Source organism: Homo sapiens, chromosome 10, assembly GCF_000001405.40.
Source record: "Homo sapiens chromosome 10, GRCh38.p14 Primary Assembly".
NCBI lineage: Eukaryota > Metazoa > Chordata > Mammalia > Primates > Hominidae > Homo > Homo sapiens.
This window is the reverse complement of record NC_000010.11, coordinates 47,281,296-47,298,290: the sequence shown is the minus strand read 5'-3', so window position 1 is coordinate 47,298,290 and position 16,995 is coordinate 47,281,296. Positions and strand designations below refer to the sequence as shown.

Here is a 16,995-nt window from a genome sequence, read left to right as displayed (position 1 = left end):
AAGCCTTCTGGCTCTCCTTAACTCATTCCCGCTCCATTCAAGCCAGCCTGAGGGTCAGGCTTTAGCCAGCACTAAAACCTGTAGGGTACAGATTCTCTGACATTGTTGGGAAAGAATTAAGGCATCAGCCAGGGATGGCTAATATTTCTTGCCTCATTTTATTGCTGAACAGCGGGACTGTAAAGCCTTGAACACGAGCACTGTGGCCCCCTTTCATGTAGCCGAGATGATGGGATAAAAATGTGTTTGGTGAAGCAATTCAGATTACCACTGGGTCACATCCTCGCTGGCTCTCAGCACGGCCCTTGAAACAGCATCACTATGACAAGAAACAATCTCTGTGCAATTTCAGCTCATGCAGAACAGTTTTTCTAGTGTGGAAATGAGGCTAATTGTGGAGCTTGCCCACGAGAATGTTTTGTTTTTAATAGCTCAGGCCGCAGCTCAGAATAAGAGTTGAGATGGCAGATTGTGGAGACAAGTCCTTGGATCTGTGATTTCTGACAGCTTCCTACAAAATTATCATGGTTCTGGGAGTTCCGTACACTGCAATTGCCAGGGGTGCTGAGGTCTTGAACTTGCTGATTGGAGTGAACAGTGTTCTCTCCAGACAGGTGAGAAGTAGTTTGGGGGCCCTCAGTCCTCTAGGCCTCCTTGCTGTGCACTCTGGGATAGCAGGGTTTTCTTCAGCTCAGAAAGTCATGAGCAAGGAGTGAAGAGACTCCATAGTTATGAAGCTCTGCACCCAAGTAAGGAAGTAAAACAAACCCTGGGTAGTTTTGAAAAGCAAGCTCATTTGGTTTCATCAAGAACCTCTCCCCAAATAAATGTTCCCAAGCGATTGTTTCATGATATCGTCCAGTTAATTTGTAGCAGAGCTAGTGTGTGATTTTAACTAGCTCTGTAACCCTGGGGCAGCCCCATTGCCTCTCTGGAATCCTAGGAGCCTCTTCTTTAAGTGAGAAGTCTGGCCTCCAGGCTCTGCTGTAGCTCCTGTACTCTCCCGCTGGTTCTGTGGCCCCATGTCAACATGTTCTTGGAAGTGAGGGTGCTCCCATGACCCTGTGGAGTCAATTGGGACTAGATTCATGTCCCTATTTTCACTGCTACTTAGCTGTGTGATGTTAAGCAAGTTACTTGCCTTCTCTGGACCTCAGTTTTTTCAACTCTAAGATGGGGACAAGAGCAGGATAGTATGAGGATTCTTGGCCAGATTTTAAAGTGACATGATACTAACTAAATTGCACTGATCATTCAGATTGGTCTTTTCATTTATTGTGTGTTTGAAAGAAGTTGTAGCACATTTAAAGTAGACCCAGACTGGCAGATTTGGTGAGAGTTTCAAGCCTGGCTGTTCCTTACTCTGCAGAGAAAATTCGTTTCTTAGTGCACAGTGCCAACAACTAAAAAAAAAAAAAAAAAAAGGAAAGAGAAAAGGAATGTTTCCTTGATGAGGAAGTCACAGACCTCTACCAAGGAACTGTTATGCTGTTATTGTCTGTGTCTGCGGGTTCTTGTCCAAAGATTGGGAGGAAGATTCACAGCTCTTCATCTAGATTTTCAAAGCTCCTGGCCCTTAAGGACAAAAGAAATGCAAGTGAGTCCCTATTCCGGTTGGGGCATGAGCTGTGGGGTGCTAGAGACAGGAACCCCAGGGCCTCCCCAGGCCGCGGGGCCAGAGTGTAATAAATCTGTGAAATAACAAGCACAAAGGACTTTATAATCAATGACAGATTTTATTTTTGCTCTGGCAAAATCCATCTGTGGAGTTAACATTTTACAGGGAAATAACTACCCACTTTGTGACTCCTCCTCAGCCCATATTCTCTTTCTTAAAGTTGGGAAAAGCTCAGAAAATCAAAGTCGGCTCCTCTGAGAACCGTGGCAAGCGAAAGCATGACTTCCCCTGGGCGGGGACCCAACTCTCCCGTTACTTCCTAGGGTGGTGGGGGCCATTCATTTCTGTTTTGCTAAAATACCCGTGACATGTGAATAAACTAGGATTACAGAACATTGTCTCGGTCAGTAATCTGAGCCGGCATGGCCTCTGGTTTGATGAAATATGGTGCTCTCTGAGCAAACATGGGAATTGGTATTACTTCTCTTTAAAGCTGAACAGTGGGGCTATTTAGAACTGATGCATGAATGCAGCACTGTGGGGAGTGACAATTTGAAGGGAACCGATTTGGGGGAGGAGGGCAGTGGTGTGTGTGTGTGTGTATGTGTGTGTGTGTGTGTGTGTGTGTGTGTGTGAGAGAGAGAGAGAGAGAGGGAGAGAGAGTTGGCCGGAGCCAGCCAGTTAAGAGGAGTCTATGGGAGAGGTGGCCAAGGGGACACTTTGAAAATTAGGACCCCTTTGTGGCTTCGCAGTCTCCTTATCACCCCCAAATAATCTTGCTCAAAACCTTTGACTACTCTCCTTCACAGGATGGATAAAGCCTTCTGTCCTTGTCCTGGCATTTAAGCCCTAACCATCTGGCCTCTCTGTCCTGGTGGAGTCTTTCTCCAGCCTCTGTTCCTATGCGTCCTCTCCTGTCCCAGAATTTAGAGCAGCTTCATTCCTTGGGTTCTCATCCCAGGCCCCTCCCCATGGCTTTAAGGTGGCTGTAGCTAATTCCCCTGTTGCCAGCACCCAGACATTCATGGCCTCAGCTGCCAGGACTTCTGTCTGCTGAGGGCTCACAGTGGAGCCCTTCCTCAGGAAGGCCGACAGGAGCGGCCTCACTCAAGTTATCTCACACTCCGGGGGCAGCCAAAGCCAGTGACTAGGTGCAGGGGCCTGGAAAACACTGTAGGGCCACCTGGCTCCGAGGCTGTCTATACCACTGTGTCATTTAGCTTCTCTCTCTGGTTATCCTAGTCCCTCAGCTCCCTTATTGGTGTGGTCCCCCTAGCACTCTCCCATATACTTATGCACTCAAATTTCGATCTCAGAGTCCCTACCCTGAGATATCCAACCTGAGATAATTCATGCCAGGAGTGATCTAAGGAAGTGGGCTCTAAGGTGGCATCTGAGGCCCTCATCATCTGACATTCAGTGGCAACGAGGACTCTGGCTGCTGTAACTGGAGTCCCCATAGCCTGATGCTGTGGTGGTGAGTTGGAGGGGTCACTTTCTTAGGGGTTAGAGAGGTTCAGGGGAAGGAATAATTCTGAAGACAGTGGGATTGTCAAGTGCCATGGATGCATTAGAAATAGACAATAAAAGATTGAGAAGGATGAAACACTAATTGAAGGCAGAGTGTGAGAATTGGAGGATCATGGCACCATATAAAGAAACCCTCAGTTGTTACAGCCAGTCCTGCTGAGGACTGGGCCCAGGACTTACATATTAAGATAGCAGAGCTCCAGAAATGGTTTGATTCTTAACCCCAGCACTTCTGTTATGCCAAAGTCAGGGGTGGGGCCCTGAGACTTGGAGTGGGGGCATCTTGATGGATGTACTCAAGAGTCTTAAAACCTTACACTTCCTTGAACACTTTGGACCTGGGGAGGTGGGCTCTGCCTACCTTGCTTGAAGATGATAAAGATGTAGTGTGCGCCCCTCTCATAATCTACCCTTTCCTGTCCCCTGGCTGCCAGATGAAACCTGGGCTTATGTCACCACTTCGCCCAGCCAGGGAAGTCTCGGTGAGAGGTGAGGCCAGCTGGACTTCCTGGGTCAAGGGGGGACTTGGGGCACTTTCCTGTCTTACAAAAGGATTGTAAAACGCACCAATCAGGAACTTTCCTGTCTTACAAGAGGTTTGTAAAATGCACTAATCAGCGCTCTGTAAAATGCACTAATCAGCGCTCTGTAAAACACACCAATCAGCAGGATCCTAAGAGTAGGCAGTCGCAGGGAGGATTGAAAAAAGGGCATTCTGACAGGACAGAAATGGAACATGGGAGGGGACCAATAAGGGAATAAAAGCTGGCCACCCCAGCCAGCAGCGGCACTCGGGTCCTCTTCCATGCTGTGGAAGTTTTGTCCTTTTGCTCTTCACAATAAACCTTGCTACTACTCACTCTTTGGGTCTGTGCCATCTTTAAGAGCTGTAACACTCACTGTGAAGGTCCGCGGCTTCATTCCTAAGTCAGTCAGATCAGAAACCCAGTGGCGGGAACCAACTCCGGACACACCGGGCCCACCAAGGGGAAGAATATGGTAGACTGGAGGATCTGCAGAGTCAACGTGTATAAGCAAGACCTGAGGGAGTATGATTGGGATGGGTCCCAAGGGTGCTGAATCAAGGGAGACTGGATTTGGAAGTGGATAAGGGAGAGTTTGTCAGTCTAAGAGCACGGTCCCATGATGCCGGTTTTCCACCATGGCAAGTGCCTTAGGGTACGGGGCTGATATGCTTATGGGTTGGCCGTTGGACACTTGGAAAAAGCAATGGTCTGCAGTAAGTGATGTGTCAACGCTGAAATAGCTGTGGTAAGTGATAGAAGAATGGACTAAAGGCTCAGAGAGCAGACATGCTGGATTAGAAATGGTACGCAGGCTGGAAAGCCACCAGCCTATATGTTCCATGGAAGGACTCAGAGGACTCTCCATTTACCAAAGTGATAAGGAATCCACTGGTAAGAGGGATACCAGCAACATGCAAAGCTGAGGGATGGCTTCTATCTGTAGGCTGGGGCTGAGGGTAGAGGGTATTGTTACTGATCTGGGCTCCCTAGCAGAAATGAGGATGAAAGGATCCCAAAATAATGGAGTATTTTGCTGTGCAAATCAAAGTAGATGCAATTATCAAAATGAGAGGTGCAGTCAGATTTCAGTCAGGGTTCCCAACTCATGGGGAGCTATGAAGACATTTAATCAAACCTGCAGTCGCTGGGGGTAATACTGATGGACAGCCCACAAGAGCACCATTCAATTTGTACAAACTAAGACAAATCAAAGATGGATAAATGAGGCTGAGGACAACCACTCCAAAAAAGGTCACACTTCTTTGATGGGCTTGAGCCAGTTTCTATACATGAACACTTTGAGTGAGGGAGAGGCTGGGACCTCAGGAGGAAGGCGCCTGCAACACCACAGCAAGGATAGATGGTGGTGATTTCCAATCCTTCCCCAAAGGGACCTATCACCATTTACTCAGGCAACCACTGAACCTGAGGGAAGGGAAACATCCAGACACTTCAAGAATAAATGGACACATGGTCCAGGTTGATATTGATACGAAGGACCCAAGGCCTCATTACAACTCCCCTGCTAGAGTGGATTTTGTGGAAACCAGATGATCAATGAATCCTGGTGCAGCCCAGCTCGCTGGGCTTGCGGACTCATCCACAGCGATTTCCTTACACCTCAAATATAGAATTGCAACAAACATCCTTGGTAGCTGCCAGAACTTTGCATTGGTTCCTTGGCTTACAGGGCAAGAGTTAGAGGAGTGGGGAAGGCAAGTTGAAACTTGTGGGGTAAGAGTTACCATAGTAGAGAAGTCCAAGGAGAAGTGTCTGAAACCATTCCCTCATCCCTGTCCTGGCCAGATTAATAAATCAAAATCAGTGTCGTGTCCCAAGGGAAATGGTAGCGATTAGTGCCATCCTTAAAAACCTAAAGGATGCAGCTGTTATGGTTACACACTGTCCTCATTTAATTCACCAGTATGTCCCCTACAGAAAACCAGACGTATGCTAGAGAATGACTGCAAATTCACCAAGTGATGTGTGAGTAGCCCTTACCTCAGCATCTGTGCCAGATGTGGGATCTTGGCAGAGCAGATTGACATGGCCTCAGGAATCTGGTATGCCACCTCTGATCTGGTGGATGTATTCTTTTTCATCCCATTCAAGAACACAGAAGCAGTTTTCATTCCCATGGGGCAGGTCCCAGTATGCATTTACTAGTATGTGTATTTCTTGTCCTAGGGCCATGTTAACTGTACCACCTCTGTTATGAGGGATCAAATGGATATGGATCATTTGGATATTCCACTGAGCATAACATTGGTCCTCTGTATTAATGACATTGTGTTAACCAGAATGAATAAGTAAGAAGTGGAATCAGTAATCAGTAAGAATACTTTAGAGAACTTGGTAAGATGCCTGTGCTCCAGAGGGTGGGAGATGAACCCCATGAACCTCATCACTGAGACTATGAGGTAGTGTGTTAGTCCATTTGTGTTGCTATAAGGAATACCTGAGACTGCGTAATTTATAAAGAAAAGAGGTTTATTTGGCTTATGGTTCTTCAGGCTGTACAAGAAGCATGGCCCTAGCATCTGCTCCTGGTGAGGGCCTCAGGGAGCTTCCACTCATGGTGGAAGGTGAAGGGGGAGCAGGGATCACATGGTGAGGGGGGTACATGAAAGAGAGAGGGAGGAGGTGCCAGATCCTTTTAAACAACGAGGTCTCATGTGAACCCACAGAGTGAGAACAAACTCATTATTGCGAGGACAGCACCAAGCTATTCATGAGAGATCTGCCCCCATGACCCAAACGCCTCCCACTAGGCCCACCTCCAACATTGGAGGTCACATTTCAACATGAGATTTGGAGGAGACAAAACATCCAAACATAGAGGTTTGGCCTGAGCAACTTGGAACATTCCCTCCAAAATAGAAAACACATTGTATCTTGCACTTCCCATCTCTAAGAATAAACAATTCCTGGCACTTTTTTGGGCTCTGGAGATGACAAGTTCCATCGTTGTGAATGCTACTCTGACCCAGAGGGACACAGGAGGATGCCAGCTGTGAGTGGACCCAGAGCAGGAAAGAAATCTGCAACCTGTCTAGGCTGTGAGCAAGCAGCCCAGCTGCTTGGATCATAGGAGCTGTCAGACCTGTGGTATTACAGGTATCTGTGGAAGACAGATATCATGTGGGATTTGTGGCAAGGTTCAATAGGAGCGAGTCCAAGCCATCTGCAGCAGAGAATTATATGCCCTTTGAAAAGCACCTCCTGATACTGGGCTTCATTCGAGATGAAGAGCTTAATCATGCACCATCAGGTGATCATGCAGCCAGAACTGCCTGTCATGAGCTGTGTTCTTGTAGATCCACCATGTCTACATGGTCCATAAGCTTGGGTGGGCCCAGCAGTAACTCATCAAAGATGGAAGTGGTCCATCTGGGATGCACATGAGCAGTGTTGGGGGTGCAGTGAGGCTGCACTAGTAGGTGGCTCATACCTCCAGGCCATCTACCACTGTGCACCTGTGCTTCTCTTTCATTTCATACCTGTGACCACGTGGGGGTCCCTTATGATAAGGTGATGGAGAAGGAAAATGTATGAGTTTGGCGCAGGGAGAAGTAGACTTGGTATATGGGTATAAAGTAAAAATGGACTTTTGTTGCACTGTATCCTAACTCAGGGATGACCCTGAAAGACAGCAGCAATGAAGGGAAATCCTCCTTATGGGCAGAGCTTTGGGGGTACAGTTGGTCATCCACCTTATATGGAAAGAAAAGTGACCTGAGGGATTTTGGGGCAGTGGGAAATGGCTTGATTAGTTGATTTGGGGACTGGAAGAAAACATCTGAAATGTCAGGGCTACGGAGGCCTGTGGACAAGGCATATGAATAGGCCTACAGGAGTCGGCAGGGAGTGAGAGGATCTTTATATTGCATGTCAGCGTCCACCAGAGAGTACCCACTGTGGAAGAAACACTAGACAGCCAAGGATATAGACTGGCTCTGTCAGTTGACATCAGCAGCCTCTGCCATCAGTCAGAATGAGTGCCTGCCTGGAGCTGCTGTGGCAGGAATGGGAGCTGTGGATAGCATGGCAGCATGAGTGCCAACTGACCAGGGCCAATCTAGCTCTGCCACTTCCCAGTGTGCAGCCAACCAGCAAGGGAGACCAATGCCAAGCCTGTGATATGGCCTGCCCCTGGCTGAGCACACGAGTTACCTGGTGGAAGGATGATTAACTGGATTCTTTCCACCCTGGAAAGAGCAGTGATTCGTCTGGTCTGGAGTCTACACATATTCTGGGTTTGGTTTGCTGTTTTTGCCTGCAGAGCCTCAGTCAGCACCACAAAACTTAGAAAGCATTTGATATCCTCCTTCAGGATCCTGTGTGACAGAGCATGGAACCAAAGGACTCACCTCGCAGCAAAGGAGGCACCACAGTGAACACAGGCCAATGGGATATACCAGTTCTGGCGCATCTCCGTGGTAGAGCATTGGAAAGTGCGGCTGAAGCACCATCTGGAGAGGATGCTCTGAGAGGGTGGGAGGCCATCCTCCACAACACAATACTCACCCCAAACCAATGGTCAATATGTGTTGCTGTGTCTCAGTCAGTAGAAATCATGGGTCCAGGAACCAAGGCACAGAAATAGGAGTGGCATTGCTCATCGTCACACTTAGTGGCCCACCAGGGGAATCTGTGCTGCCTGAATGCTCGGCACAGTGGGTCTAAAGGTCCTGGTGCCCAGAGGAGGAATGCTTCCTCCAGGGGACATGGCAAGATTCCCTTTTCATGTTCAGTGACAGGTGCTGCCAACCACCACCAGCTCCTACGTCTAGAGACTGGTGGGAAGGAGGGGAGTCTCCATCCTGCACAGGTCATCAAACCTGTGCTGTCACACACTGGGACAGGGAGGATGTCTTTAGCATCCAGGTGACCTACTGGGTCATTTCCTGGTGCCTCCCTGCCCAATTCTGATGACAAATGGACAAGGGAAGGAGCCACAGCTTGAGAAGGGCATGACAACTCTCTGGGGCGTGAGTCTGCGCCACCCACCAGGTGAGCCCCTAGAGAAGCAGAGGCACTAGCCAAGGTGGAAGAGAACCTGGAATGGGTGGCAGAGGAGGGAATTGGTGAGTACCCATGGTCCTGAGCCCAGCTGCAGCACAGGTACTGTGATCACCCCTTTAACCTTCTTCCTCTTGTAAGCTTTCCCAGGAAAAGAGACCAGGGAGCATCCTGGGGGAGCTGTTCCCAGGTAGGACCGGATTATACAAAACAAGTGGATGCAGCTGTGGAGAGGGAAGCCTGTAGAGGACACTGTGGAGCTGCCCAGCTCTACCCTTCAGGGTTGAGGCCCCCATTTCCCAGCTTTCAGGGGTGGTGCCTGCTGATGGCTCCTGGCTGAAACCCTCCCCAGGAATTGCCCTTTGCAGCCTAAAGGAGCTGCCCAGCCCGTGGCCATGCCTGCTCTTCCCCAGGGCCGCTGCATCTCCCAGCTGGGACCACACGGCTGTACAAAAAAGTCTGGGCTCCCTAGTCTCAATTTGGGACAACACTGAGGGACCATCCCAACTCCAGAGCTACCTGTGGGAACAGCCACAGCCCCCGTTGTAATCGCATTCCAGTCAACTTCCCCCTCTGTCCAGCAGCCTCTCTCACCCCTTCCGGGTGGTGACGTTCCTAGGTTCTGGCCTCATAAACCCGCCACACTCATTTTGCCACCCCTGAGCCTGGTTCTGGGGTGCTGCACATGAGATGGCAGGACCCAGGCACCTAGAGTGGCCATGTGTCCCAACATGACAACTGCTTACTTCCTTATTCCCTTTCCACCTTTCTGAAAAATATCATTCTTCTTCTGGTATTTCTCTAACATCTCTCTCACACTTCCTGATTCCCCTTGTTCACAGGAAAAGCAGCTGGCAGGTTCATAAGAAATTCATAAGCCCATGTTTCTTTTATTTATTTTTATGGTTAACTTCTATTTATAACAAGGAATGCTGGTTTTCCATTTATACTTGAGATTTAAAGATTCTGTTTAAAATAAATTTAAGTAAAACGGAGTGAGTGGGTTTTTTAAAAAACAGCTAAGTAAATGATAACGATGGCAGGCATGGTGAAGGTGGTTCACTGAAGGATGGCGACTTGGGCAATGCCTACACCAGCAATTTCTCCTGCCTGGGAGCCCCTCTGACTCAGGTGAATAAGCGTCCTGCAAAAACCAGCCCCAAGACTCCATTCTTTGCAAAGGTCCTGGCCCCTGCGTTTCAGAGATAGTCATGTCTTCCTGTAAGATACGTCCCACTGTGTGGAACAATCTTTCTCCACGTCTCATCTGCATCAGGCCAGCAAGGGCCTTGAGCGCTAAGTCTTTCTTACTCCCTGTTGTTGCTCCAGGACCCAGTGTGGGCTGAGACACAGGGAGGTTTGGGGGCAGGATTTTAAAGTGGTCCCCAGAATTCTGCTCCTGGTGCATTTGCCCATAGCAATTCCATCCTGAGTTGGGGTGGGGCCTTTGAATATGACGCATGTCACTCCTGGGATTCACTTGTGTTATATGGCAGAGGTCATGCGATTTTGTGTGTATCTAATTGAAGGCCCCAAACCGCTGATTTTGATGGAATGAAAAGGGAGATTATCCTGGGTGGGCCTGCCTTAATCCGGTGACAGCCCTTGAATGGTGGCCTGGGCCCTTTATGAAGAGAGGGCTCCCATGCTGGCCATGTCCTGACGAAGGGTCCTGTCATAGGCCTCTAGGAGCTGGAGCCATCCCTGATGACAGCCCAGAGGAAAGTGGGGCCCTCATACTACAGCTGCTAGGGGCTTGGGAGAGGGAGGACTTGGGCTCCGGAAAGGTCTGCAGCCTGGAGAATATCTGGATGGCAGCCATGTGGGAACCTGACTGGAGAGCCCAGCCAAGCTGTGACCAGACTCCGGGCTCGTGGAAGTTGTGAGATAACACATGTGTGCTGTTTTAAGCTGCTAAACTTGTGGACGTGTATTATGCAGCGTTAGGAAACTGGCACGGCAGCCTGCAGACATTGGCCGAGCGAGTATGAAAGCCTGCAGGGCACCCCGCCCACTGGCTCCTGAGATTTACAGGCGCTTTCCACCTGGGGAGATGAGGCTGCCAGTGCAGGGAAGGGTTGGCAGCTGCTGCAGCCCTCGAGTTGCCCCTTACCTCACATGGTGCAGACAATGAACAGACCGGGGACTGCCCAAGGTCACTTAGAGTGGAGCACGTCTGGGAACCCCTCTGAGCCTGGCCTCCTCAGCCATGCTTTTGGTGCCAGCCAGCGCAGTGCCCACTCCATGACCTGGAAGGCATCACAATCTCCTCTTTCTTTGGTGACTTCAGCTATCAGTGGATCTCCCCACCCTGCCGCCTCCCCATGGGGTCTGAGTGGCAGGTGGAATGTACCCTCCCTCTTCTCACCCACCCTCTGGCTCTGGGACATAGCAGCTCTCCCCTCTGCCCCAGGCAGCCCTTCATCCTGGAGCTCTGCCTTGGGCACTCTGATGGCCTGGCCCCTTGCCCCAGTCTCCTCTACCCTACCCTCCACCCTGCTACTCCACCCTTCGCTAGCTGTTTTGTCTGCCTGCATGGCTTCCTGCCTTCTTTTTGAAACAGCTCTCTCCTTTCTGTGGAAGAAGGCTTCCCCCAAACCACACATGAGGCTCAGTGGAGCTGCCTGTCTGAGAGGCTGCCTAAGTGCCATGCCAGGGGGTTGGTGTATGCCAGTCCTAACACTTCCCCCAGCCACAGTGAATCCCAGGAGAAATCCTAAGTTGGGTTAGTCATTGTTCCACAGGATTCTTCTAAGCAGACTTGGTGGTGACAGCCCCGCTCTTCAGTTTGCTGAGGTGGAATGTCAGGTGGCCAGACCGGGCTGGTGCTGCCAAGGTCCCTGTAACACAGAGACACCTGTGTCTAACTGAAGGGAACTGAGGCAGCAGAGGAGAGGATAAAGAGGTGGAGAAGCAGGAAGAAGAGAAGGAGGAGGAGGAGGGAGGGGAAAGAGAAACAGGAAGAGGAGGAGAAACAGGAAAAAAAAAGGGGAAGGAAGAGGAGGAGGAGAGATGAAGATGAGAGAAGAGGGAAGGTGTTTTAGTTACAAATTATCCCCAAACTTATTATGGCTCAAAACAATACACAGGTTCTATCTCACAGCTTCTGTAGGTCAGTGGTTCAGCTGTGGTTGAGCTCAGGGTCTTTCTCAAGGCTGCAGTCAAGGTGCAGGCTGAAATCTCCCTTATCTTGCACCGGCTTCAAAGCCCTCGAGGCTATGGGCAGGGTTCAGTTCTGGACTCTTGGGCTGACAGCTCCATTTCTTGCTAAGTTCTGAGCTCAGGATTCTCTGCTTATTCTGGGCCTTCTCTTTCAGAACGTCTCCATCCACTTCCCAATCCGGCATCTCCACTCAGACCTCAGGCTGGCATTCCCCAGTGGCTCTGGGATACCAAGCTTGCTTCCAGGGATCTTCTGCTTCTCCTTCTGCACCTGCTCCCCTACTGTGATGGTGCCATGGAGCTGAAGGTTCATGGCTGGCTCCTCCCTCTTTTCCCCTCATCCCCAGCCGGCTGCCAGTCCTGTGAAGCTCATCTCTTGGAGCCCCCTCTGCCTGCTCTGCACACGGACACTTTCTCATCCAGGTCTTGATGCTCTCTTGCTGCTGGTCGCTATGCCAGGCCCACTGCCTTCAGGCTCCTTCCTCAAGGCTACAGGGCAATCTTCCTTATGACAGACGTGCCCCTGCCACCCTCCTGCTTGTGGGACCTCACCTGTCTCCTTTCCGTGGCATGATGCCTGTGTCAGACACCAACACATGGTCCCTGCCCCTCCTTCACACCTCTCTTCCAGGCCCCTGCGTGTCTTCTCATTTCCTGCCCACATACTCCTTCCTCCCAAGGACAGGCCTCCTCAGCCGTTCTCTCAGCCTGACATGTCATCCCCCAGACCCACCCTTGATTTTCTCCACCTGCAAGAGTCCCAGGATCAAGTTTGTCTCCCTCAGGAGCCCTCTCAGAAGCCCCCCTGCCTCCACAGCCCTTTCCTTCCCCTTAGGAATGGGACTTGCTCCAGACAGCCCTGTGCAGAGCTGTCCTGCAGGTGGCTGTCTTCTGCCCCAGGCTCATGGGGGGACAGTGGCTGATGAGAGTCTGTCCCATGGAAGGTGTCTGGAGAGTTAGGGAATTTGCTCCAGGACCATGGGAGGGGAGGAAGGGGACCATGACACATGGGGGTGATGCCCTCGATGGCATGAAGCCCCTCCACTGCCTTCTTTCCTCTGGCCTCCCTTCTGAGCCCCGATCATGAGTCAGGAGGGTAGAAAAGTTCACAGCCGGAAACTCTCAGCTCTGAGCAGTTGTCAGTTTCCTATGATTCTAGCAGGATTTGCTACTCCTCCATGATTTACTCAGACATCATGGACGATAGAAGCCAAAGCTAAACTGAACAAGCGAGAATGAAGGATTAATTGGCTGAGATAACGAAACTGCCTAGAGGAAGGGATGAGCTAGCCTTCTGGAAAACTCAAAGTAGGGACTTCCACATTGTCAGCCTCCCTCCCTGCCCTCCCTCCCCTTCCCTCCCTTCCCTTCCTTCCTTCCCTTCCTCCCTCCCGCCCCCTTCCCTCCTCCTCCTTCCTCCCTCCCACCCCCTTCCCTCCTCCTCCTTCCTCCCTCCCGCCCCCTTCCCTCCTCCTCCTTCCTCCCTCCCGCCCCCTTCCCTCCTCCTCCTTCCTTCCTCCCTCCTCCTCCTTCTTCCTCCCTCCTCCTCCTTCTTCCTCCCTCCCTTCCTCCTCTTCCCTCTCTCCCTCCCTTCCTTCTTTTCTTCTCCCCTTTCTCCCTCTTCAGAATGAAAACAGCTTTGGTGTTAATGGACAATGTAATTACTGCTTGGCTACTGTAAAGTGAGAGTGATGTGTAAGGTAGGCCTATCAACATTCTGACAGCCATGCGGACCCACAGGCAGCGAATGTTTGCTCTAGGGGCCGGACAGTCAATATTACAGGCTCTGTGGGCCATATGGTTTTAACTCTGCCTGTGAATGCAACCATAGACAAAATGTCAATGCATGGGCATGGCTGTGTGCCAATAAAACTTTATATACAAAAATGATGGGCTGGGTGCGGTGGCTCACGCCTGTAATCCCACCACTTTGGGAAGCCGAGGTGGGTGGATCACGAGGTTAGGAGTTCAAGACCAGCCTGGCCAAGATGGTGAAACCCCGTCTCTACTAAAAATACAAAAAATTAGCCAGGCATGGTGGCGGGCGCCTGTAATCCCAGCTACTCGGTAGGCTGAGGCAGACAGTTGCTTGAACCCGGGAGGTAGAGGTTGCAGTGAGCCAAGATCGCACCACTGTACTCCAGCCTTGGTGACAGACCAAGACTCTGTCCGCCCCCCTGCCCCCCACCCAACCAAAAAAAAAAGATGATGGCCTGGATTTGGCCTGTGGGCTGTAGTTTGCCAACTACTGCCATAAACATTTTCTTCTGGCCTCAGGCATCAGCATCATTCTCTCCTATGACAGAATAGTGGAGGGGGTGAATGTATGGAGGTCATGAGTCCAGCATCTCTGGGCCCTCTCCACCATGGTTTATGACCAAGGAGGAAAGGCATGACTCCCTGCCAGCCCAGCCTGGGGATGCCAGAGGTGGACTGATTGACCTGGCATGAGGCAGGTGCTCAAGTCTGGATCAATTGTGGAGGGAAGTGTGTGGCTCTTGGTGGTGGAGGGATGTGCTATTTGATGAAGGGTGAGCTGTTTGGGACATGCAAAATGATGAATGTCCAGTACATTTTATATCCCTTGAGCAGAGCTCAGCTTTTATGAAACCAGTCTTACTAATTACTATGGCATGATTTCTTAAAAAGTAGATTGTTTTCACTTACTCTGTCCCATCATTTATTGTTTACACAGAAGTTCAGTGCATTTCCTGACTCCTTCCCACCTCTGTGAATGCGCTCCAGGCTATAGAGTATCTCCCAACAGATATTCTTCAGTCCAGAGGACTCACAGTATTGGCCTCCTGGGATTTACTTGGTTTCTTGCTGACATTTCCCCTGTCCCCATGGCCCTTTTCCACACCCCACCTCCTACCTCCAGTAGGTCAGACTCTGGGAGGCACTGGCAGACTCACATCCAGCTGGATACCATCATAGCTAAAGCAGTGCTGTGATCTTTGTGCTTCTGCCTCTGTGGGTAGAGCCCTGATCCCCTCCTGTGGACCCAACCCGCTCAGTGCAGGTGGACCCAGCAAGCAGAGCTGTGGATTCAGGCTGGTGGCTGATCCCCTCACACCTTGGAGACCTTGGGGTTCCTGCTCGTTGCCTCAGGACTGCCTCCTTCCTGGCTGTTGGGGCTGCTGTGCCCAGCTCACCTCTGGGGTCAGCCTCTCTGGGGCCGGCTTCTTGCTGCAGGTACAAGACTTTGGCATTCTCCTCTGCTGAAAAATGCAGATAATGATGAACGTTCCTCGGGGTGCTGTGAAGAGCAAAAGGATTGCGGAAAGCACATGCAGCTCTCGGCTCATCGCCGGGCTAGGGTGACCATCTTCATCTACCCTGAATCCTCCCAGTTTTAGCAATGAACATCCAGCATTTCAGGAAACCCTCAGTCCTGGGCTAAGGAAAGCTACAGTAAGTGCCACTGGGGCTGGCATTGCTGGTTTCTTCCAGTCCCACCGTGGCCTGCACAGGGACGATGTCCTCCCACACCTCCATTTCCAGCATGGAGACGATTCAAGGCCATCATGTGAACAGCTCCTCGGCCTGCTGGGTGAAGAACTGAGAGATCAATCCCACACTCTGGCCTCCACCTATGTGTGCCTCAGCCTTGGTTCCTTCCCTCTCAGGCCATCCTAGGAGAAGCCAGGTCCTCTTGGGGGTGGTGGGGGTGCGGGGAGGTTTGTGGCAGTGCCCTGCTGCCCACCAAAGCTGACTCACGACTCCTCCAAGCTCATGCTGCTGCTCACTCAGGGTTGTGGGACTGCCAGCCTCCAGCCACCCCTCTGCTCCCTTCCACCTCCTGCTGTGTCAACTGGGCCCTGTACACATGCATATGATAACCCCCTGCCTGGCCAAGCTCTGTCCACACCCCTCCACCCTCCTGCGATGCCAGGTGCTGCCTCCTGGGACTCCCTCTCTTCATGATAATATGCACTGATGCCCTTCTCTGACATTTAGCTGTTTTCAGGGAGGAGTAAACTGCATGGTGGGCTGGACATGGTGAGCACAGGGTGAAACAGACTGCGAAGGAAACTAGATGGCTAGGCTTCAGGTCGGCGCCTTCCATGGACATGGGAGTTGTTGGGAGGGCAGTCAGCAGGAAGGGGGCTGCATTGGGAGGGGCTTGGAAGATGGGCTGGGGAGATCCCCAGGAGGGAGGTAGTGAGGGGCTGCCACCTAGGTCTTCTGCTTCCTGTGAAGGACTTGTGGGGGAGACCTCCTCTCCTCCTGTGTCCACAGTGCCCGTGTCAGACTGCAGCTGCCACTGGCTCCATAGGACAGGAACCCCTGAGCTTCTGCACTGTTCCTGCTGTCAGGGCCAACCTGACAGAGTTAAAGCCAATTCCCTCCAAAGCCAGCTAGACTCGGGGTAGATTCTTCTAATGCCACTTTGCCCAGTGATGCCCTTGCTTCAGGTTCAAATTAACCAAATGAACATATTGCATGAGATGGTTTCAGCCCTATACGAAGTAGTTGGAATTCTATTAGATTTCCCCTGATTTTCTTCCTTGTGAGCATTTGTTGTTAGCTAGTCTAGCACTCTAGTGTTTATTACATATTTCTACTTCAGGTAAAATTCATCAAACAGAGTGCTTCTCAATATGCATTCCTCTGTGGGGCTTGCTATTTCCTTCTGCCCATTTTGGTGCACAGTACAGCTTTTGGTGTCTGTCCCTGCTTTCAGGGGTGCCGTCTGTGACCAGCGACCCCAAGAAAGCCACACCCATGGTGCTATATTAGCACCTGCACCCCCACATCAGAGCCATCAGACAGAAATACCAACTCGCAGGGTACTGAAAAAATGCTTTCTTATTATAAATGTACATACAACTCATTGAACAATATATGGAACATCTCCAAAGCACAGATAGAAAGAATTCTCTATTTTTGTACCACCCAAACTTACCATTACCAGGTGGTTCAAGTCTCTTCCATCCTTTCTCTGTGAATCTCTTATTTTTCATACAGTTGATCCATTTGTAGTCAACAGATGTGGATTTTCTTTTTGTCACTAAGTGTTAGAACATAAGCATTTGTTTAATATCACAAACAAACTTTCAAAAACATACGCCATAGAGTGTGGAATAATAGGTATTAGAGACTTGGAAGGGTGGGAAAGTGGGAGGGGTGAGA

At 50.6% G+C, this 16,995-nt stretch overlaps 2 annotated features.

Moving 5' to 3' along the window:
- Window positions 15,198-15,727: an enhancer, noted in NCBI's record as "H3K27ac-H3K4me1 hESC enhancer chr10:48456269-48456798 (GRCh37/hg19 assembly coordinates)". NCBI's record gives its function as "activates a minimal SCP1, AML or CMV promoter by ChIP-STARR-seq in naive and primed H9 embryonic stem cells {active_cell/tissue: H9 hESC(naive and primed)}" and the evidence as "EXISTENCE:reporter gene assay evidence [ECO:0000049][PMID:30033119]".
- Window positions 15,728-16,255: an enhancer, noted in NCBI's record as "H3K27ac-H3K4me1 hESC enhancer chr10:48456799-48457326 (GRCh37/hg19 assembly coordinates)". NCBI's record gives its function as "activates a minimal SCP1, AML or CMV promoter by ChIP-STARR-seq in naive and primed H9 embryonic stem cells {active_cell/tissue: H9 hESC(naive and primed)}" and the evidence as "EXISTENCE:reporter gene assay evidence [ECO:0000049][PMID:30033119]".